This window comes from Homo sapiens, chromosome 2 (assembly GCF_000001405.40).
Source record: "Homo sapiens chromosome 2, GRCh38.p14 Primary Assembly".
NCBI lineage: Eukaryota > Metazoa > Chordata > Mammalia > Primates > Hominidae > Homo > Homo sapiens.
The window spans coordinates 179,426,606-179,449,306 of record NC_000002.12 but is presented as its reverse complement, the minus strand read 5'-3'; the positions used below and the strand labels follow the sequence as shown (position 1 = coordinate 179,449,306).

At 37.5% G+C, this 22,701-nt stretch overlaps 1 protein-coding gene across 21 annotated transcripts in view, besides 2 other annotated features; it reads left to right on the top strand.

The window, feature by feature from the left end:
• ZNF385B (zinc finger protein 385B) overlaps positions 1-7,325 on the top strand; it is a 419,631-nt gene extending 412,306 nt beyond the window's left edge. For 18 of the 21 annotated variants that reach the window (NR_148057.2, NR_148054.2, NR_148059.1 and 15 more), the window contains 4 exons: positions 2,537-2,782; positions 3,579-3,757; positions 4,330-4,431; positions 5,839-7,325. Coding sequence is in view for 14 of the 21 variants with exons in the window: in NM_001352816.2 (NP_001339745.1) it covers positions 2,537-2,782; positions 3,579-3,757; positions 4,330-4,431; positions 5,839-6,057 (746 nt within the window). In the remaining 7 variants the exon portion in view is untranslated. The remainder of the gene's footprint in view (positions 1-2,536; positions 2,783-3,578; positions 3,758-4,329; positions 4,432-5,838) is intronic. The other 3 variants (NR_148056.2, NR_148058.2, NR_104234.2) reach the window with 2 other exon arrangements.
• Positions 5,771-6,065: a silencer, noted in NCBI's record as "tiled region #1228; HepG2 Repressive non-DNase unmatched - State 23:Low, and K562 Repressive non-DNase unmatched - State 24:Quies". NCBI's record gives its function as "represses a minimal TATA promoter and a strong SV40 promoter by Sharpr-MPRA in HepG2 and K562 cells {active_cell/tissue: HepG2 | K562}" and the evidence as "EXISTENCE:reporter gene assay evidence [ECO:0000049][PMID:27701403]".
• Positions 19,575-20,075: an enhancer, noted in NCBI's record as "H3K27ac hESC enhancer chr2:180293959-180294459 (GRCh37/hg19 assembly coordinates)". NCBI's record gives its function as "activates a minimal SCP1, AML or CMV promoter by ChIP-STARR-seq in naive H9 embryonic stem cells {active_cell/tissue: H9 hESC(naive)}" and the evidence as "EXISTENCE:reporter gene assay evidence [ECO:0000049][PMID:30033119]".

Here is a 22,701-nt window from a genome sequence, read left to right as displayed (position 1 = left end):
ACCTTCGAAACCTTAAAAATGTCACTTCTTTAATGAAAAATGTCTCATTCTTCCCAAGCGGAAGTAATCATTTTCTGCTCTATGCTCTCACGCCTCTTACCAGTTTCTGTTGTAAATTAGAGATCTTTGAATGACTGTCTCATTTCCTCCTGCTATGCTGTAATTTTCTTATAGTCCATACTTACTTTATTTACTATTCTCTTTAGTGTCTAGCACATTGTCAGCAATTAACATATTGTTAATATGTACTTGTTAATTCATAAATTACCCCTTTGAAAACAAGATATGAAAAGGAAATCTTTTTCTTAAAGAAATAGGAACATAGAGAAAATATATAATTTTATACATGTTCTCAATATAACCTAAATCAAATGATTGTTGAGCAGGATAGATATTTTCACTTACGCCAAATAAATATACTTTAAAAACTAACCTACAATTGTAAAACAAAGCAACTGCTATTTCACATCTAGGGTGACTGTTGTGTACTTTTATATCACTAGTGATATATTAAGTCCTCCTTTTGTGCTGAAATATTAGTGTACCACAGACTGATCAGTTAGAGAAAACATCATGCTCATTTATGCCACTTACTAATCTGTGGGACATTATTTAATTTTGAAAAGGCTCAGTTTCCTCATCTTTAAGATAGGAATAATCATTTTGAGCCTTACCTATTTCACAAGTTTTCTGTGAGAGCTAATAAGACAATGTAAGTGATAGCACTTTGTAAACTGTAAAGTTCTATATAAATTTAAGGGTTTATGAGGGACATTAGTATAAGGGACATTATTAGTAATATGAGAGAATGCTGTCAATGGCTGAAACAGATCAGATTCTTTTAGATCAAATTCATATGAAATGCTTGAAGCAAGGAAAGATTTTAGTATGTAATAACTTTAATTTTCATCGCAAGAAACTGAGTAATTCCAAATATTAAGATTACTGAATTATTTTGCTGCTTTATGAGTTCTGTAAGATTGCAAATTCAATCTGAGGGATCCTTATAGATGAGAGGGTTCCAGGCCTAAAATATTATCCAATCTAATTTGCTGACTATTACCAATTAGGAAGAATCATTTTATGTCCTTCTCTCACACTATACAGGTCAGTTTAATAAAAGTCTAAGAGCTTTTCCATCATATTTTTTGTCATCCTGAAGTTTTAGTACAGTCACTGAAAGGGAATATGGAATGTGCAACCTAAGAATAAAAAAGAATCTCAGTATTCATTTATTCTAAGTAAACCCAGATTTGGAATCCCTCCATAGCACCCTCTAGCTGTGTCTAGTCTCAACCTGAATGGATCCAACTCAAAAAAAAAAAAAAGGATGGAAATCAACTGCTGATTCCTAAATCAATTTGGCTTTTCTTTATGTAATATTTTAGTAGAAATATGATCTCCCATCATTTGCAATGTGTTCTAAAAGCTTAGGTTTACCCATATACAGAACCTTGTAACATACACACAGAAACACACACCACATTGCTGTTGCCTAGTCTCTCCTTCCCTCTTAGTCTTCTAGGCCAATGGTATACAATTCCAAATTAGCTAAGGCAATTAGCAAATATATTCTCAGATTTAATTCCCTTTCTCTCTTTATGAGAGTTAATCAGCATATCTATAGACATTTTCTAAGAGTACCAGCTCTACTAGGATTAAATGTGTGATGGATTTTGCTGTTGCTTACAAAGCCCCAGTTTGTTTCCCAAAGGAGTCACTGAACAGAGCCTGTCTTGAATAGCAAATGAACTTCAATGAGTTAGATTCTGTTAAAGTCACTCTAACTCTCATAGCCTGCACATGGGCCTTGAGGATTATAAGCATTTAATAGCTACATGATCAAACTGCCAAAATGTCTTTAAATGACTTGGCTAATCTTCATATTGTGCTTATGGTTAATGTCATTATTTAAAACTTTTGATTTAGACTGGTGGTAATTAATAAAGATAATGAATGGAAGCTTGGTCTCTTATATTTTGGATAAATTGCATTGCCATCCACAGAGCAGCAAAAACTTAACTAATCATAATCAAAATTAACCATGTTTCTTCTATCCCACAATCCACAGTTAAAATTTTAACTTGGTATAAAAATTAAGTTTAACTTATCTCTGTCATAATTAAACATAAGTAGTCAAATGAAACTAACATGGCCTAATGGCTTCTTTCATGTTACCTTCATATCATGTAATTGTATCAGAGGGAAGGTGGTTTTGTTTAATAATAAATATTTCCTTGTAGAGTAATTTATGACTCAAGGATTTCAGACAGAAAGTTACCTGCTCCAACTGGGAGAACAAAGTCATTTTTCATAAGTCATCCTTATCTTGGGATGACCTAATATGGAAACTGATGGCATAGTGTTCTGTTTGATTTAAACATAGAGGTTGATTTAACCTCTATAAACTGAAATCTATGCTGCAATAAAAACTTCACATAAGAATCAAATTTCTATTTTTAATTCATCTATGGTGATTTATCTTTGTTTATATGATATATGAGGCTTCAATAAGATCTCTCTGTGTTTCTCTTAGAAGATAAAGGGAAGTTAAAAGCCAGCAGTTCCAGTCAGCCATCAAGCTCTGAAAGTGGCTCATTTCTCCTCAAATCTGGCACAACACCCCTGCCACCTGGAGCAGCCACTTCTCCCTCCAAGAGCACAAATGGAGCTCCCGGTACTGTTGTTGAATCAGAAGAAGAAAAAGCCAAAAAATTACTTTATTGTTCACTATGCAAAGTGGCTGTGAACTCCCTGTCACAGCTAGAGGCACACAACACAGGTTAGCAGCTATCTTTTGCATTTAAATAATGTTTATAACAAAACCCAACTTTTCCCATCAGAATACCATATCTTTTGTTGTTCAGACCTTAGGTTTGTTCCATGCTTCTCTACTTTTTTGATTCAAAGGAGTGATTTTAGAAAAGTATGATCATATGACTTTGGAACTAGCAAGACAAAAGCAGTTTGGAGATCAAACTTGTTCTATTCTTTATTTTCTTAAAAACATCTAATACTGTCCAAAACTCATTTTGATGAAGTGACAAAGATGAAGATAAATATTTATGCACAGTGTTCACTGCAATACACTTAAAAGAGAAAAAAATGGAAACAACCTAAAGCCCACCAGTAGGGAAATACTGAATATAGTAACCCAATATGATACATGTTAATCAGCCATTAAAACATAATGATCAGAAAATATGTACATGATTTGCTATGTGAAATTTTCAGGATATTTAATTAGTATGATCCCCATTATGAAAACTGTTTTTAGTACATTAAAAAAAAGAAACTGACAAGAAATACCCTAGAATGATAATAGTGGTTACCTCTGAGTAGTGAAAATATGAGTCATCTTTATTTCCTTATGTTTCTGTATATTTTCTTTATTATATACGCTTACATTTTTCCATTTTTTACAATAACGTGTTAAATTTAAAATCAGCATTAAAGTGATCATTTTTAAAAAAGCATTGGGAATTTTAGCCTGCAGGTAAACTTCTCAAGGATAAGAAAACAAAGAGCTTTATATAATTCTTGGATAGCTATTTAATATGTGTCTCTTTCTGTCTTAGGATCTAAACACAAGACCATGGTTGAAGCTCGTAATGGGGCTGGTCCAATTAAATCCTATCCTAGACCTGGATCAAGATTAAAGATGCAGAATGGCAGTAAGGGGTCAGGACTACAGAACAAGACATTTCATTGTGAAATCTGTGATGTTCATGTTAATTCAGAAATTCAACTCAAACAGGTAACGTATCCTGAATTAGTAAACATTATTGTTTTAGGTCACCACTTGACTGTGTATCTTCTCATCTATAGAATGGTTTTTACTGTGCTCACAGTTAAGTTGACTAACTTTTGTAGGATGCAGACAATATGCAACATATAGGTGCTAACATGGAAGAAAAAGTCAGTATGAAATATTTGAGCATCTACTGTTACTATATGTCAGGTTCCAGGCTAGATGTTGGAGAGATAGGAACAGTAGTCACTGGAGCCTACAGTTGAGCAGGAGCTTCTGGTAAGGTAAGATGTTAAGCCTATCTTCCAAAGGCTCAAAATCTGATTAGAGAGACTCATCAGTAACAGTGGTAATACCAGGCAAAATCTGATAAGGGCTATAGAGAACAGGAGGGGGACAGAGGGGCATTACAATTGAGGGAGGACTAAGTCTTAATTTAGAAATCATAATGATTTTACCCACACCATCGTGGAACTATGGACCTAGAGTTGGCAATGGAGAAAATAGCTACCTAGAAATACGTTTTACATGGAATAAGACTCACATTTCAGTCCAGCTAATGCATCAAACTTTTTCAGCACATTTCTAGCCGAAGGCATAAAGATCGAGTTGCAGGGAAACCACTGAAGCCAAAATACAGCCCTTACAACAAACTCCAGCGGAGCCCGAGTATTCTAGCAGTAAGTTTACCTCACCTGCTCACCTGTTTTGTGGGGCAGCCTTGCTGGGTTGGGCAGCCATTGTGGGCAAGGAGGGCATAGAGTCTAATGTCATGAAAGGTTTCAAATTTAAATAGCCCTCATAGACAGAAGTTTTAGAATGAACTGCTTAGTTCCTGCTATAGGGCAACTTACTTAGAAAACAGAAACTGAACCTCTTTAAGAGCTAATATTTTACTCTTTACCAAGTTGTTTTCAAAAGACTATCCTCTTTAGCATATAAAGTAAAGGCTCAAGAACAAGGACAAGTGATGCCTAAGGAATCCTGGAATGCTGAACCTGGAAAGAGGGATTTCTTTCATAAAACAAAAATCCATCCATTTAATTTAATATCCTCATGCTTTCTGTTTTTTATTATTATTATTATTTGGCATGAGAAGGTAAAGCGGTGTCTGTATCGTGTGCTCTCTCCATTCTAGCAGGCATGTTGGTAATTAGCCTGTTTTATCTGCTCTCAATATGTGCTATTTTCAGTGTCTTTGCAAAAACACCTAGGGACTCCAGCAATAAGTGTCATATAAATACCAAGATGGATAGATTTCACAATCTCCCTGGGACTGGGCCCAGTGCAGTGTTCAGTCTGAGGATGAAGCTGAGCTTGTCCAGCTGGAGGCAATTCTGAGATTACCTTCCAGCTTCTCCAAAGCCTCTGTCTGATGCTGCAAGCAGGTGTTACCTGCATTAAGCAAATCCAGCTTGCAATGCTCCTCCTGATTGCAAGAGAGAGAAATTAAGGATTGATTTCTTCACAGGAGGATTCCATCCTGGCATTCCGTTAAATAGAGAGTTTCTACCCACTTACAATCATTCTCAACAACAGAAATTTGATTTAGCTGTGATTTTTCAAGGACTACTCATTAAGTAGCCAGTGAGAGAGGTGTGAACTGACTGTTTTCTTGACTCTTCAGGGTCCCTAAAGTCCTGAACTCATTACCTAACCTCAATGCAGCTTATCTAAGAGAAGGGAAGGATCACACTTATTCTCAAAAAACAAAACAAAAGTCTCTAGGTCTCGTCATGGTTTAAGACAAGCCTGAATTTTGCATTGAACTTCATCATCTAAGCAGGAAACTTCTGGGCATGTTTTTTTTCCTGGTGAGCAGCAGCATAAAATAGCTTTAGAATTTATTCAGAGGCCTTTCCCTGTGCCCTAGCACACAGGAGCAAAGACCACCAAATAAAAGAAAGCTATGCCATGAGCCACTGAAACCAGCATTGTGAAAATAATGATTTCTTGACTTCTGAGAGTGAAGATTTTCAAAATTTAAGACTTCTTAATGTTGGTGTTTTACTTATGAAAAGATGCCTGTGGTGCTGTTATTCAAAAACAGGATCTCCACCCCATTCCTGGTTTTCTCCCTCCCTTAGGCAAAACTTGCATTCCAGAAAGATATGATGAAGCCTTTGGCCCCAGCCTTCCTGTCCTCACCTCTCGCAGCGGCGGCAGCCGTGTCCTCAGCGCTGTCACTCCCACCCCGGCCCTCTGCCTCGCTCTTCCAGGCTCCAGCCATTCCTCCAGCTCTTCTGAGGCCTGGGCATGGGCCCATCCGCGCCACTCCTGCCTCCATCCTCTTTGCTCCGTACTAACGTCTGCAAACCCCAAGACGTTTGAGGCCAGTAGGAAGTTGAGAAAGAAAGCCACAAGGATTCAGCAATTTAAGCAGTTTGTGTTGCAGTACCCCCCATTCACCCACAAAATGCAGCCCACCACCCAGTCCCCCAATTCCAGAGAGAAACACATCACTAGATTGACGAGGGCTTTTAGAGACTGCTCCTATAATTGAGGAATCAGCAGCATAGGCTTTATCTCCCTACTTCCTCCCCCACCCTACCGCGTTCAATTTGTGTATCTCAGATATTTGATTTCTTGAGCATGTATTGGTCAGAAAGAAAAAGAAAGAAAACCATTCTCTATTTTTCCATGGGTATGATCTGGCTTAAAACAATATGGAATATTTTCCTGACAGACTTGAAAACTAGGATCTTCCTCAGATGTCTGTAAATAACTCTGGTATCCAACTGGGTGTATTCTAGTGTGGAACAAAAAACAGTGAACACAAGTGCTTACTTGTGGATACTATCTTACCAACGGATCACAAAGTTCTCTTTTTGGTGTACTGTTGTTGACAGGGATTGTGTACTGTTTCGACCCAAGTACTGCTGTATCCTGTGTAGTACTAGATCTGTATCTCTTGTCTGAATTAAACATTTTTAGTTGCTGTGTAAATGTTAGGAAGCAAAGTAGCTTTGAATTTTCTCTGTAAGAGAATAAAAGATAAAATAATGTATTTTCTTTATTTCACATTTTATTTGGAGATATTTAAATGAAATAGAAAGCCATATAACATAGCTATAATTACTACCTGTTTGCTATTTTTGTTTAACTTATTTTGTAGCTTCCTCACTGGTTTGTGTTGCTAAGCAAACGTATACAAACAGAAAAAGAGCTTCCTAAATTGCACATTTTTGCACCTCTTGTGCATTCTGCAAGAAGACAATGAATCCATGTATTTCTATATAAGTATCTTCTTCATTTTTAACCTGTTTTCATTTGTAATGATGCTACATAATTTTGTGGCTCCCTAATGCAATAATGTACAGAAGATAAAAAAATTTATAATTGAACAATTTGTCTTTCTGTTCGCTGAATATATTGCAGGTCATGCTCCCATGCCCCCCTTTCTAAGCCGATATCAACAAGACTGGAATGTTTGTGATATCAGGGGCAAGAGTTATCATAGAACAACAAAATAGAGTGGACTCTTTTAGAGCATCTATATCTGCAACCTGTAAATGGTAAAATGTCTGTGTATTTTTTTAAATGTACCTTTTCAATAAAAGTACAAAAAATAAAATCTGTTTGTATTTTCAGTGTTTTTTTTCTCCTGAGACACCTCCAATTTGAAATCATCTGATGAAAGATTTTTAGTAGGTGCAAAGATTGCTTCTTACATAGCATTTTTAGCTCTTGTTTGCAGCATATTTATTTGTCATGTTTATTCATTACTGTTCACAGCATCTGCATGAGGTGAAATTTTACTGCCATTTTCTCTCTGAATCTCTAAGAAGTTGGGCCAAAGTTGTTGAGTCACCCAAAATCACAGTAGCAGCCTGCAAAAAACTTTGGACTCGGATTTTTTTTAACTTACTGTGGGTCCTCTAAATCTCTAGTTCATCTTTTATTGGTGTCCGTGGCATTTATGATCTCTTTTCAGAGAATTTTTTCCACTTCTCCTCCTTTGCCTTCTCCAATCAGCACATCCTCCTTTTCTTCCACCTCATTCTGTTGCTTTTAAGTACAAAGATCAATATATCACTGTGTGTTCTGGTAAATTATTGCTGCTTACAAGACTGCTCTAAAACTTAGTAGCTTAAAATAATAGCCATTTGATAACTAGTTATATCAGAATTTCATGGGTCAAGAATTCCAGCAGGGTTTGGCCGGGCTGTTCTTCTCTTCCCGGTGGCATCAATAGAGTACCTTTGTTAGTATTCGGCTCTCAGGCGGGCTGGGCTGGAGGGCCCAGGATGACTTCACTCATATGTCTGCCCAGTCAAAAATGACTGCAAGGTTGAGCCTTACTGGAACCATCTACCAAAGGACTTCCATGTGGCCTCCGCAGCATCCTCCTTGTTGTAGCAGCTAGTTACATAGTAGCAGAGAGAACATTTTAAGAGTCCTGGGTAAAAATCAAGAAGTAGTGTTGAAACTCCCAGCACGTCTTCTGCTGCATTCCATTGATCATGCAAGTCACTAAGACCAATTCAGATTCAAGGGGAAGAAAATTAGACGTCGTTTCCCAATGTGAAGAAGAAAAAGAGTTTGCCACCATCTTTAATCGACCACACTGTTATAGAATTTGGAGGGGAGTGGCTACAAAACCATTACAGATCCTGTTTCTCCCTACCCTGCATGCAAACCCTGTCAGTTTTTAAAAATGAGAATTAGTGGGACTTAGATTCTCATTTCTAAAAATTTAAGGCCAGTAGGTGGCAGTGTAGCTGTGATGCATGGCAATAGACTTCCTCTTTGAGTTTATCCAACTGAAAATTGTTGACCTTAATATTTTAGTCTTATAATCAGGTTTCTTTCAGACTCTAGTAAGATTTCAGTTTGATATTCAGAATTTGGTGTTTTTTAAAAATATGACTCATTTGAAGTCTAACAATACTAGTTACACTTAACCTTGGTTGGACCTTCAGTTGTGATTTATAGACAGCATGCCCTGAAGGAATTGTGTTTCCATTTAACACTTTGGAGTACTTTTTATTTTTATTTTTAGGGACTTCAGTGGCCATGATATTTTGTTTACCTTTCATTATCCTACATTTCATTAAAGCTTACTGCAATCCTCAAAAATTTGTAAATGGCAGTATTTAAATAGACTCAGGAAATTACTGATTAGATCTATAGAGTCAAGATTTGTTAAAATTACCTCAGGGAAGAAGTACAAAAGAATGCCAGTTAATTAAAATGAATGCTTTCAAAAGAAGCCGTGAGTAGCTTCAAGCAATTATTTATAAAACACTATTAAACACATATATCTCATCGTCCACCCTGATTCTGAAGTGCTAGTGTGGGTCAACCCTGGAAAGGATATACGTATTTGAACTAACACCTCTTCCTATGCTATTTCTAATGAGAAAAGAGTGCCACTCTACTTCACTTATTGTGAAAGTTAAAAAACATACTGCTTCCTCTGACACAGTCTAGTTCTGGTCTCTGTAGAATCGGAAAACCGGTCTCAGGTAGGGTTGCCAGATAAAACATAAACTACCCAGTTAAATTTGAATTTCAAATAAACAATGAATAATTGTTTGGTGTAATATTTTAAATAATGTTTAGTACAATATTGCACATTGCAGAAGTATGTTTCATAAATACACATGCAATATTTGGGACCTACTTATACTAGAAGATTATTTATTGTTTATCTAAAAGTCAAATTTAAGTGGGCATCCTATATTTTTATTTGCTAAATGTGGCAACCTTTTTCTCAGGAGGATTTCTCCTCATCTCAAGAACCATGATGCTTTAGGAGAGAAACAACCTCTTGAGTATTAAAAAGAAAATAATGAGTTTTTTAAAGGCACATTGTAATATATACTCACAAATAGGCAGAGGAAGGAACCTGCGTGAAGTAAAAGTCAATGATATATTGACTTTGCATAGGACCAGCAAGGGGGAAAATGTAACTGCAGATGCCTCTTACTTAAAGCTACAGTGATAGCTGTCTATCAAAATTAAACTATTGTAAAAGGAAAAAACAATTTTAATTTGTCTTATTCACCATCCACAGCACCGTTGATTTTCTTTTCTACCCTAAATGAATTCTGGCTTTTCAGAGCAGAAATAGATACGGTTATGTCGAATTTTTCTCTCAGATAGTGTTTAAAACAAAACGCAAAAAAACTATACTGCATTCAATGTCACTGGGAAAGAGAACCAAGAAAATTCCCACTGGAAAAACGAACAAACGAAGGAGAAAGACCTGGCAGAGCATCAGATGGAAATCCTGTTGTGCAGACTCCCAAAGGGAGCCTAAAGAGACTGACCAAGGAGATTGAATTTGGGGATCTTTTGGAAAATGGGCACCCACTGCCTGGGGTGCCATCAGGGAGAAGAAACATGCGGGGAGGAAAGAAGTGTCCAGGAGCTGTTTGACGGATAAAGATTAAGTTAGCCTCAAGGAATATACACCGTAGATAAGCACAGGCATCTTCAGGTGACAGGGTGAAGGATTTCACTCCATCTCTGCAGGTCTGTGTGGATTCTGGCTTTTCTTAACAGTGTTTCTTCCATCTGATCCTTGTTTTGTTAATATGATGTCCCTCGATGTCAGAGGTGTCATGTCTCTTTGGGAAAATATTAGTTTCTAGTACCGTGGTGGGTTGAGGAGAAGCTGTGCAGTGCAAGAGCAAATTCCACAGGGGATGCTACGTTTGCCTCCTTCCCTCCTCCATGTAATTAGCTCCATAGGGGAATTCATCAAGGACATGTCATTGCAGGTTCTCAGCAGCTATGGAGTGTGACTTGGTAATTGCCTTTATGTCTTTGGCTAACATTTCTACAGCCAGAATGACTGATGTATTCTTCTATTCCTAGCTAAGTGCTCAAAATGCATAAAACCTCTAGTCGTCAGAATTCCTTCTGTAGGTGCAATGAAAATATCTTCATGTCATATTTTTCATTTTAAGAAGTCACTTAACAGATAATTCGACAAGCTTGACATTAAGCATCTGCTGTTTATTTTTATTATAGTGAAAAAGTAAAATTAGGATATAGCAGAAGTAAATAAGAAAAATACATAATTTGCAAAGACCTGAATTCAAATCCTGATCATGTCATACGCACATTAGTTCAGTGATCTTATGTCAGAAAAATATTGTATGTTGTTTCCCCAAAGCCTCAGTTTTTCACATATATAAAATAGATATAATAGTATTCAACTCACAGGGTGATTCTAAGAAGCACATATAACTAAACATGTGAGAATGTTTTTTGTACATTATTACATGCTATATAAATTTGCATAGTAAATGGATAAGTCAAATAATTTTTTTCATTTTAAATTTGTAAATTATAAGATTCTCTCAAATTAGCCAACTTTTTGCTACCTTGCATTTATTTATTTTATTATAGGTTCAGTGGATACATGTGTAGGTTTGTTATATATATATAAAACATTTTATATATATAACATTATATATATTTTATATATATAACGTTATATATATTTTATATATATAACAAATATATATATTTGTTATATATATATAATAAATATATATTATATTTATTATATATATATAACAAATATAATATATATTATATATATATAACAAATATAATATATATTTATATATTATATATATAATATTTTATATATATATGGCATGATGCTGGGGTTTGGGCTTCTAATGAACAAATATATATATAAAATATATATTTATATATTATATATAATAATTTTATATATATATGTATGGCATGATGCTGGGGGTTTGGGCTTCTAATGAACATAGGACCCAATAGGCAGTTTTTCAACTTGCCCCCCCTCCCTTCTTCCCCACTTATGGAGTCCCCAGTGCCTGGTGTTTCCATCTTTATGTCCATGTGTACTCATCGTTTAGCTCCCAAGTGAAAATATGCAGAATCTGATTTTCTGTTTCTGCGTTATTTCACTTAGGATAATGCCCTCCAGCTGCACCGAGGTTGCTGCAAGGAACATGATTTCATTCTTTTTTATGTCAAATTAGCCAATTTTAAGTCTTTAGTGGTGACCTAGACTCAGAGAAAAATTTATCTGTAAAGAAGAAATAACAAATTCATCAATTGTATGTTTATGCTCCTAGTCTCAAAGGTATAATCCAAATTGAAGTAATAAGATAACAGAGCCAAAGTAAATGCAAAATGTTTGCTTATCACAAGAATGTTTGAATTTTATATCTTATATTCCACATAAGAAAAACATAATCTCAAGTTTTAAAAAATAAAAAACTTCCTTACATTGTAAAAAAAATCACAACTCCTGTTACGAAAAATAAAAAACTCATCACTGATGTAAAAACCTGTAAAACACTGTGTAAAAACACTGTTTTAAAAAACTTAAAATACTATGAAGACTATTTAAACATACAAAACAAACTAGGGAAAATATTTACAATCCTTTTGACTTACAAAGGTTCATATTCGTATACAGAGAACTCATAAAATGCGGTAGGTGAACTCTTTCAAAAAAGAAATTATCTCATAGAAAACCAGACAAAAAGGCAAACCAAAAAAGATAAAATATACACAAATGCCTAATAGGAGAAGATGTTTCTCCTTACTGAAGTAATATGAATGAAATCAACATGTTTTTGATCTAGCATATTAGCAAATAAATTTTCTAATTTTTTTAAACCTGGTATTAAAGAGGGTAGGGAAATAGACATATCCATACACTGTTCGTAGTAAATGAAAATTGCTTCAACTTTTCTGGAAGGATGGTTGGTCGTATGTATCAATCATCATGTTAGTTATGCCTAAATTTTGGCCCAGAAATTCCATGTCCAAGATTTTATTCTAAGACTATAACTATGTAAATTTAAAAAGATTTATGCACAAGTATGCTTTGAAATAGGAAAAAATAAGTTCATGCCTAGGACAGGAGTTAAAAAAAAAACTAGGGAACAAACATGCAGTCGGAAACAACAAGGCCATTAAAAATGACAACATCTCCAATTATTGACATGAAAAGATATCAATCATATATGTCTAAGTGGGAAAAATAAATGGTTGCAGAATGCATCCTGAGTGTGATCACATTCCCGTTAATTTTTTTTTGGAGTTTCGCTCTTGTCACCCACGCTGGAGTGCAGTGGCACTGATCTTGGCTCACTGCAACCTCCACCTCCCGGGTTCAAGCGATTCTCCTGCCTCAGCTTCCCAAGTAGCTAGGATTACAGGCACCCACCACCACTCCTGGCTAATTGTTTGTATTTTTAGTAGAGAAGGGGTTTTGGCATGTTGGGCAGGCTGTTCTCAAACCCATGACCTCAGGAGATCCGCCTGCCTCAGCCTCCTAAATTGCTCAGATTACAGGCGTAAGCCACTGCACCTGGCCTAAATTTTAAAACTACACCTGCGTGTTTGTATTTATGCATGGAGAGATGTCTGATAAAAGTGGTTAATCCTCACTGATAAAAGAAGTTACCCTTGAGTTGTAGATTTCTCTATGGCTTTATATTTTGATTATAATTTTTGGTACAGTTTGAATTTTTTACAATGAATATGTCACTGTTTCAGAATCACGCAAATATAATCAGTTGTCCCACTGTAATAAAAACATATACTTTTCACTTATAGTGACACAGTGACAATTTCAAAGGACTCTATGAAATTATAATTAGAAAATAAGCATATAATAAATATCAAATAAGAATGGTTGGTTATAAATATAAAAAGCAAGTTAAGACGTTTAGTGTTACTTCAGATTTTTTTTTTTTCTGTTTTCCTTACAAGTTAAGAAACTGTAATACAGTTACTATGAAAGAGGAAACACCCAATTTGCTTAAATAATGTAAATGGTTTCTTGAGGCCTATGACTCTCAATGCCATTCACACGGACTTTTCCCACATTTCTCCTAGGTTCTGGGCTTTTCTCTTGCCCCAACAATGCCATGCTTTTTATAACTAAGCACCAGTTTTTTGGGAATTGTATAACCAGGGCATAGTTTCATATGGCTCTATTTTTAAAAACTGAGAAATTGTGCCTATTTATGCTAATAATGACATTGTTATTAGAATAAAATACATTTGTCTTTTACTGTTGATTGGAAGTGCATTTGTACTATAAAATATATAGTTTGGTGAACTGGAAAAAAAAAGGCAGCCTTTCTTTTTCCTCTTTGAGATGCCTACCATCTTAGGCATATTTGTCTGACATGAAAAGAGCACGGACTAGAGGAGTGCAAATAGCTGGTAAAATCTCCTTGAAGAGCAACTGACAACATTTAACCTACAGGACCCAAAAGTTTCAAATGATAAAAGGATGTTGTAAAACACAAGCTCTCTTTCCTTCAAGGAGTCGGAATTCCATTCGGATGCCCTCCCTAAGAGAATTCACAATTTGGATGCCAATGATGGTTTCACTTTCCACTAAATATAAACACATGGCACGTATGAGACTGAATGTTAAAATCAAAGCTTGCATGATAAATAAGAGAACCCTCTAGTGAAGAAACACTTTGCATTTTGATTTCTAGCTCTTCAGGATAAAGATCAGTAGACTCTTCCTCATGGCTCCTGGTAATAAGAGTCTCTCCTGAGAGGCAGTATCATTATGGATAGCTGGTAGCCAAGTTCACGCCTTTGTTAAAACAAAAGGCTAGCTTTAACTCTCACTCTTAGAATTCCCAACATGGCTGAGCCCATTTTAAAATCAATATAGCGGGCAGCTAAGCACTGAAATCAGTTTGGAAGCAGAACACCAAGTAAGAGTGCAAAAGTACCACTCTCAGGCCAGAGCGCGAGAACTTTTCAATAGGGTGGTTGTTTGCTTCATCTACAGGCAAAAAACATAAACTGACCCACTAGTCACTGAGGTGCAAAATACAACCTGGATCACAGATTCTCAAAGATAGTGTGTAGAACAATCACCTGGAAAGATTATTAAAATGCAGATGCCAGAGTCCCACCCTAGAGATTATTATTCAGGAAGGTGTAAGTGGCTCCCAGAAATCTGCATCATAGCAGGTGCCCCCTAGTGTAACCAGGAGAAGGCAGAACAGTCTAGCTCATAAGATTAAAGAAGCTTTATTAGCTTCATTTGAAAGGATACCTATTATACTGCCGCATCTAGGCAGTGCTGTATGTGAGGCCCAGATTAAAGCAATAAACATTTCCAAAGATTATACTGAGTAGACCCAACTTCAGACTAGGGCTCCAAGGAGGTCCATCTCAAACAACCAAATATTTTTTGGTAAAAAATAAAGATTTTTTAATGCCCTGGGAATCAATTCACTTGTTTCCCCCTCACAAACAGAATCTGGTTTATAGCCCTTACTTTAAAAAAACAAACAAACAACAACAAAAAAAAAAAAAAACAAAAAAAACCAGGCCAGGCACAGTTGCTCATGCCTGTAATCCCAACATTTTGGGAGGCTAAGGCAGGTGGATCACGAGGTTAGGAGATCGAGACCATCCTGGCCTACATGGTGAAACCCTGTCTCTACTAAAAATACAAAAATTAGCCAGGTGTGGTGATGGGTGCCTGTGGTCCCAGCTACTCAGAGGCTGAGGCAGGAGAATCACTTGAACCCAGGAGGCAGAGGTTGCAGTGACCCGAGATTGTGCCACCACACTCCAGCCTGGTGACAGAGCGAGACTCCATCTCAAAACAAAACAAAAAAAAAATAGTTTATAATATGGAAGAGGACCCAGTGAGTCAAGACAAGTAAAGGAACCAGATAACCTCTAATTTAAGAATAGAAATAAAAGAAAAGTGGTTTTAGGTATTTATGAAAGATTTAGGCTAGTTCTTAGGTAGCAATTCTAGAAAACTAACAGGAGGATTACTGAAGACGGCTTTCAATGCAAGGTCTCTAAAATTTGCCCATTGCTATTATGGACTAGGCAAAGCATGACTTTAACTAAAGGACAATCAGTAATTGAGAACACAACTGAAGGAACCTCTCTGTCCTATTATCCTAATTTCTTAATAAATCTACTACAATAATACTAAAATTTGGCTATAATAATACTTGATTTATAACTCAGGGGATAAGGTGTTCAGTGTAAGCTTATTTTTTATAATACATGAATCTTAGTCCCTTCAGAACTTCTTTTCTCTTGGTTTTATTTAAACTTTTGGCTGGAACACTTTCTAAAAGTTATTACCTATGGTCTTGCCTGTGCAGTATATTATAGCAAGTATATCATTTGCAACATGGTATACTGGCTACAATCTTTTCTTGATGAGTCAAGTTCATCATTAAAACCATAATTTGTGGCACATATGTGGATGTCATATAGTCATGGAAAAAACAATGAACTAAAAATCAGAATTTCTAAGTTTTTGTCAGCAGAACCAGTACTTACCGGGCATGTTACCTTAAGCCAGTTTGAGACTCCACGTCCTCCTCTATAAAATGGGAATACTACTACTTGCCTTGCATTTGCCAAAATGTATTGTGGAGATCAAATAAAAACAATTATAGTAAGTGCTCAATACATTTTTAGCTATTCTATCTTTGGCATGTCAGGCACTGCACATATCCAAAAAACAGACAAGGAATCAAGGCTCACAGAAACTAAAACTTTTACAAATTTATCCCAGGCAGCTCATGCCATCTCCAATGCTCCCCATGACTTTGCCGTATCACTGTCAGAGCATCATATTCCACGGCCAAATCCTGGAAACCATTTGTAAAAACACAGAGCTTGTGAACTACGTACAGAGACTCCTGCTGAGACATGACATCTGAGTTACAAAAATGGAAAAATGAATGGAAAAGAGCTTTTAATTTAGTTCCATTCAACTGTCACTTATTGTTTATATCAAACACTGAAAAGATGGTAAACAGATGATTCCCACCTTCTGGTTTCTTAAAATGCTGGGAAGTAGGAAAGGAAGAAGGGCAGTGGAGAGGAGGAAGTGACCATGAAAGTAAACACATATGAACATTATTTCAATGTATGGTAAGATAAAAGGGAAGATAACTAGCCTAGCTAGGTGGTTGGCATATGTGTGGCTTGAGTAGGTGCTGAGAAAAACTTCCTGGAGATTCAGGTAGCTAAAATGGCAAGAAGAAAAGGCATCCAGTGAGAAAGCATGGCATGAAGATAGTACAGTGTATGGAGAGAACCAGAGCAGTTCATAGAGCTTGAAATGAGAAGTAGGAGAGGTACAAGGAGGCTGGGAGATAGATATGGATCAATCATGAAGAGACTTATACAGTGGTCTATGCTAAATCCTGTAGCTTGTGGGGATTGCTAGAGGTTTCTAATTGGTACTAATATGATGGGATTTGCATTTAGGGAGATCTTTCTGGAAGCAATATAAAAGAGGGATTGGAGGAAGTTATACGTATCAGAGAAAGAGTTCTGAGGCCATGAGAATGGCCTGAACTAGGGCCTCAGTAATAAAAACTATGAAATGTTTTGGACAACAAAAACCAAGCAGCAGCAGTAGCAGCAGTGATGACAGCATCATGTTTATAATGTTATTACACTTGAAGCATCTCAAGAGCAAGAACACTGGGGCCTGGTACTAGGTAGAAGCTCACTTGATACTCATTCAAAGAGTTTATTTTTATAATCTCCATGTATCCAGCATGATTGTAATATTCTCTGAGTTCCACTATTTACTTTTTTTTTTTTTTTTTGAGATGGAGTCTCGCTTTGTTGCCCAGGCTGGAGTGCAGCGATGTGCTCTCAGCTCACTAAAACCTCCACCTCCCAGGTTCAAGCAATTCTTCTGCCTCAGCCTCCCAAGTAGCTGGGAGTACAGGCACCTGCCACCATGCCCGGCTAATTTTTGTATTTTTAGTAGAGACGGGGTTCACTATATTGGCCAGGCTGGTCTCGAACTCCTGACCTTGTGATCCGCCCACCTCGGCCTCCCAAAGTGCTGGGATTATAGGCGTGAGCCACCATGCCCGGCCCTATTTACTTTTATAATGCATAATTTTTTTAGTGTCAAATTGCAAAGTAGTCATTTTTTTACCCTTTTTAGTTTCTACGAATGGAGAAATCAGAGAAGAAGACTGTTAAAACTGTGTGTAAAAAAGGAACAGAGCTCCCAGAGCAGCCTGAGGGATGCTCCCAGAAATAAAGTGTACTAGAATCATCCTAGTCTTTTTGACATCTATTTTGGCTGCTCAACAGCATTTCTTTTCTTTCTTACTTTTCGTTGTTCCATAGTGTTTGTAAGTTGAGGATGTCATATAAATGATTTCTGGAAATTTATTATGAATCACTATTATAACATGAAAATAAATCATAATCTTCTTAATTCATTCTACAAATAAAATGTTCAGGTGCTGTGCTAAGAATACTGAAATAAATGAGACTCCCACCTGGCTCTGAAGGATATTATTAAGACTCCCAAAGAAAGCAAAGTCAGTTATTGGGGTAGTAGGCTCCTTTTACCTTCATTTGCCTCTTTGTTTTAACTTGAACTGATTTATTCTCCTTCTGATAATGCTGAAATGAGTTTAATCTAGGGGCTCTCAACCTAGCTAAGAATTACCTGTGAAGATTCCAAAAAATATCAAAGCCATGCCCTCATCATTAGATCAACTAAATCCTAATCTAAAATGATGAGCCCCTGGCATTGACAGGAAAACAAAGAGACTCCCCAGGTGACCTTCATGAGCAGACCTAACAATCATCAAAAGGCTTGAAACCCTCTGTTATTCAGAGCAGAAGAAGGACCACAAATATAAAGCCCAGAGGCATTTGGTGCCCCAGATCACTTCTATTTGAGAGCAAAATGTGTCTCCCAAGCTCAGGGGAAAAAATAAATAAACCTGGTAAGTAGGTGTGTGAGTGGTGGGAGAGGAGAATAGATTTTGATTAAATGATTTTTGCTTTTCTTAATCAGATTATCTTCCAATTTTACCCATGTGTGGGCTTCCAGACCATTCTTATTTGGCGTTGTGTCCATGAGGACTTGGAAAGAAGAACATTTTTATTAATTACTAAACTGATGGAAAAGAATAAACTCTAGGAACTAGTCTGCTAAAATGATTTATATAAACATAAAATTCCTAAAGTGGTACAGAGTAATCTGTCCCACCATTGATGGCAGTACAACAAAAAAAATTAATTAACTCCCACAATTGACACATTCCTATATGGTTGGCTCCAAAAATTACCAGAGGAATTTTTAAGAATATCTTATTGTAAATCAACAATTTATAATTGTATAAGTTTATGGGGTACAAAGTGATTTCATGATTTATAAATCCAATGTGGAATAATTAAATCAAGCTAGTTAACATATTTGTCACCTCAAATAAGTAACATTTTTTATGGTCAGAACATTTAAAATTTACTGTCTTAGCAATTTTGAAATGTTCAGTACTCTTATTATTAACTATATTCACCACACTGTTCAATAGATCTCAAAAAAAAAAAAAGAAAAAAACAGTATTCCTTCTGAGATTTTGCACCCTTTCGCCATCGTCTCCCCATTCCCTCCACCCACCAGCCTCTGTAACCAGCATTCTACTGGGAAATTGGCATGTATTAAATTTATGAAAATCGTGAATTGGTTTTCATGAAATGGCTTTCTGATCACATAGCAGTATTTGGATACCCTAGTCCATTTGCTATATCTTTATGGTGATGAAGGTAGGGAAAGATGATCCCACATATTTAATAAATAATAGTAAATGACGACTGGAGACACTAATGCTAAAAAGTCATAGATGCTTCTGAATCATGATGTCTGTTGAAATCTCGAACAGGTTAAAAATCATCTCTATCTGCTTTGAGTGTGAATTTTGCTTCCATGGGGTGATGTCATCTGGTTTTCTTTCTGAAACCTCATGCCATTATCAGATTCTATAAAGTGAGCCACAGGGGGAACCTCACACAGAGCATGACAACAGCAGGACAGTAACCATATTTTATGAGACAGAGACTCTCTCCCTCCTTTCTCTTTCCTTCTTTTGAATTTTGCTAGCCAAATACAAACCCTTGGCAAAGGGCTTTCTCATTTAGGGACATCCCTGATAACTCTAATATGTTGTGCTCTGGCCATGACTATCTCAGAGAAATGCAGGGTGATTCCCTTTTCTGCATCCCTTAGAACATTTTCTAAAATAAAGCTGGAAACATGCATTGCAGACGGAAATGCAATCCTGTTCACCGAGAACTCCATGCCTGGACTCCCATTACAGAGCCCCCGGGCAAATTAGCCACTGAAGAGAGAAACCAACAGATAATGGAAGGATGCCGTGCACGTGTTTGCATACCGTCACACCCAGAAGTTAAGACCCATCATCTGTGAGTGCCAGGACCTGGAGGGGGAGAGCAGGTTTCCAGCCAACTAATAAAGCCGGTAGATGTAAGCTGCCTGGCATCCCCAAACAGGTGGAGCTGCTGTGGGGGCCTCCGCGAGCAGGGAGGCAGAAGTGGGGGTTGATTTGCTAGTAACTGAGGCAGGAGGCAGTCATCCACAGGTGTCCCAGTCGGTGTTGATTCCACGCAACCTGCTCGCCTACTCTCACTATCTGGAGACGTAGGTAAAATACTGCTCATTAAAAGCAAACACAGGGAGTGGAGCTAAGCTATTAGGCAATGCTGGAACTTGACAATTTAGGATAAGTCAAAATCCTTAGAGACAAGACCAGTTTGGCATTTAGGAAGATCAGGAGTCATTTTCGACGAGCAGGGGGTGCACTGTTTTAGCTGCTAGAGCTTTGACGCTGGTAAGCTTGACTTCCCGGCACAGCTCCCTCCTAAGAGCAGTTCAGTCGATAAAGGGACCCGTCTGGAGCAATTGCAAATGCGCTTGGCTCTAATTTCAATAATCAGTGTGAAACCTTGATCCAGCATGTGTTGAATGCAATGCAGTTTTCTTTTTCTTCTCTAGGAAGCAGATGGGAACTGTTACAACAAAAACAGCCAAAGGAAAAAGAAAGCCTGTTGTTTTGCTGCCCCTGCAAGTAAGTGGGAAGCAGTTTCCTGCTTTCTCCAGAGATGTTTGGAAGAAAATAGGATGTTCTAGGACATAAGTCTGAAAAGGTAAACAAGCCATTTAATTAACTGAACCACTTCAAAGCAAAAAAACAGGGAAAGGGTGGGATTAAGTACAAATCAATACAAACTATAGAAATATGAGATTCTTATCGACATAGTGTTTCCTCCCAAATTTTATACTGGCCTCTGCCCCCTCCCATCACCAACTACTCCAACATAAAGGTGCCTTCTCCCAGGCAGGAGCCATTTTATTGCTTTAAACCGGTGTGTGCAATCCCTTTAGACTTTGGTTTCAGAGGGCCCATGGCAGGTGTGCCTCTGAATCCTGGGACCTAAAACCTTCTTAGTATTATTTGAACTGTGCCTTGCACAGTGGCTTCCATTATTTAGTAAGTTCCTTCTGACTTGATTGTGGGGATCACGAAGATGAACTGCTACCATTTTATTTAGTTATTTTACCTGTTCCCAGGCGATGCAGATAGGCAGTAAAACTAATTAAATCAACACTCTCCATTACCACTCTTGCTATTTCCCCAGAATAAGTTGTCACTCTCTCTAAGAAAAAGAATTTTTTCCCCAAGGCTGTTTTAAAATGATAATACAACCTCTGCTACAAACGCAGGAGGGCTGGCAATAAGATGTGCAAACCTACCTTTCTAAATTTAATTAAACTCATGTAGCAAGGATGTCTTTTGGAGCCATAGTTTTCTATTGGGTTCAGGCATATTTAGGCATATTTGGAGAATTTGCAGGGAGGAATCTCTTTGCAGAGCAGAGCAAATGGCCTTCTCTCACAGTCAGCTGTCCCAAAGAGGAAGGGCCCAAAGGACCCCTGGCAAGTGAGGAAGCAGCTATGGGTTGAGAAGCTTAACCTGATAGCAAAGCCTTGGAGGGGGAGACAGTCCTTAATCTTTTTGGCTCATAGACCCCTTTGAGAACCTGCTGAAAGTATTGGTATTGGACCCTGTCCAATACCACAGAAAACATTTACCTATGCATTTGCAACACTCAATTTCTTATACCACACCAGATGTATTCTCAGATTCCAGCAAACCCATCTGTGGATCACCACTGATGGTTCTGTGGACTCAGGGAAACACTTTCCTTAGAGTTTCTGCTTCTCAAGAATTAACTGGAAATAGCTCAGCATCCCTACCCTGTCTCCAGCCCACTTCCCTGGATGCAGGTCTGGTCCTGGACAGAAAGGAGGCCACTGTTCTCAATTCAGTAGCACTGGCCACCAAGTGACACTGCTTTGGCCTCCTGTGTCTGGATTCATTCCAAGGAGAAAGATTTGGTCTCCCCCACTTCACCTCAGGCACTCGTAGGACAGCCACCAGAAGTGGACATCTATGCCCAGCAGAGAGGTGGGACAGTGCACGTGCCATGGAGGTGCCACACATGTGGAACACTTCTGGGAGAACCCACCAAAGCCTGGGGAGCTGGGGACTCACCCAGGCAAGGGCACCTGCACCAAGCCAACCAAATGTGAGTATAATGGTACAGTGATCTCATTTGTACATTATACCTGATAATTACCTCCTTTACATCATTATTTGGGATTTGGTACTGGACAATGTTAGTCTAAGATACAGGGGCATTTCTGGAGTAAAGTTCTTTCAAAACTTCAGTTTATTACAACTAATTATTTTTTTAGCATTTATTTATTTCATATTGTCATGACGGTTAAACACTGAAAGCATCCCTTGAGGCAGACATCTCCGAACACAACTCTGAGAAGGGTGGTGGAGTAAGTGGCTGTGTTTCCAAGGTGAGAATACTGAAGGGCTAGGCATGTAGATAAGTGTGTTGGAGGGGATGGGAGTGGGAGGCAGTCTTGGATAATACATGCAGATGTTCCCCCTGGTCCAGTGGTAGGAAGCTGCACTGACTTGCTGAATCTTAGGAATATATCTGCACCCAAAAGCAGGCTCAGTACTTGAGAGATTGTTGTCTTTTTGCTTCTATATTCATGTATTTACCTCTTCTAGTCTACTGGCATTTTGTTTCTTTCAATGTATTGAACTACCTTATAA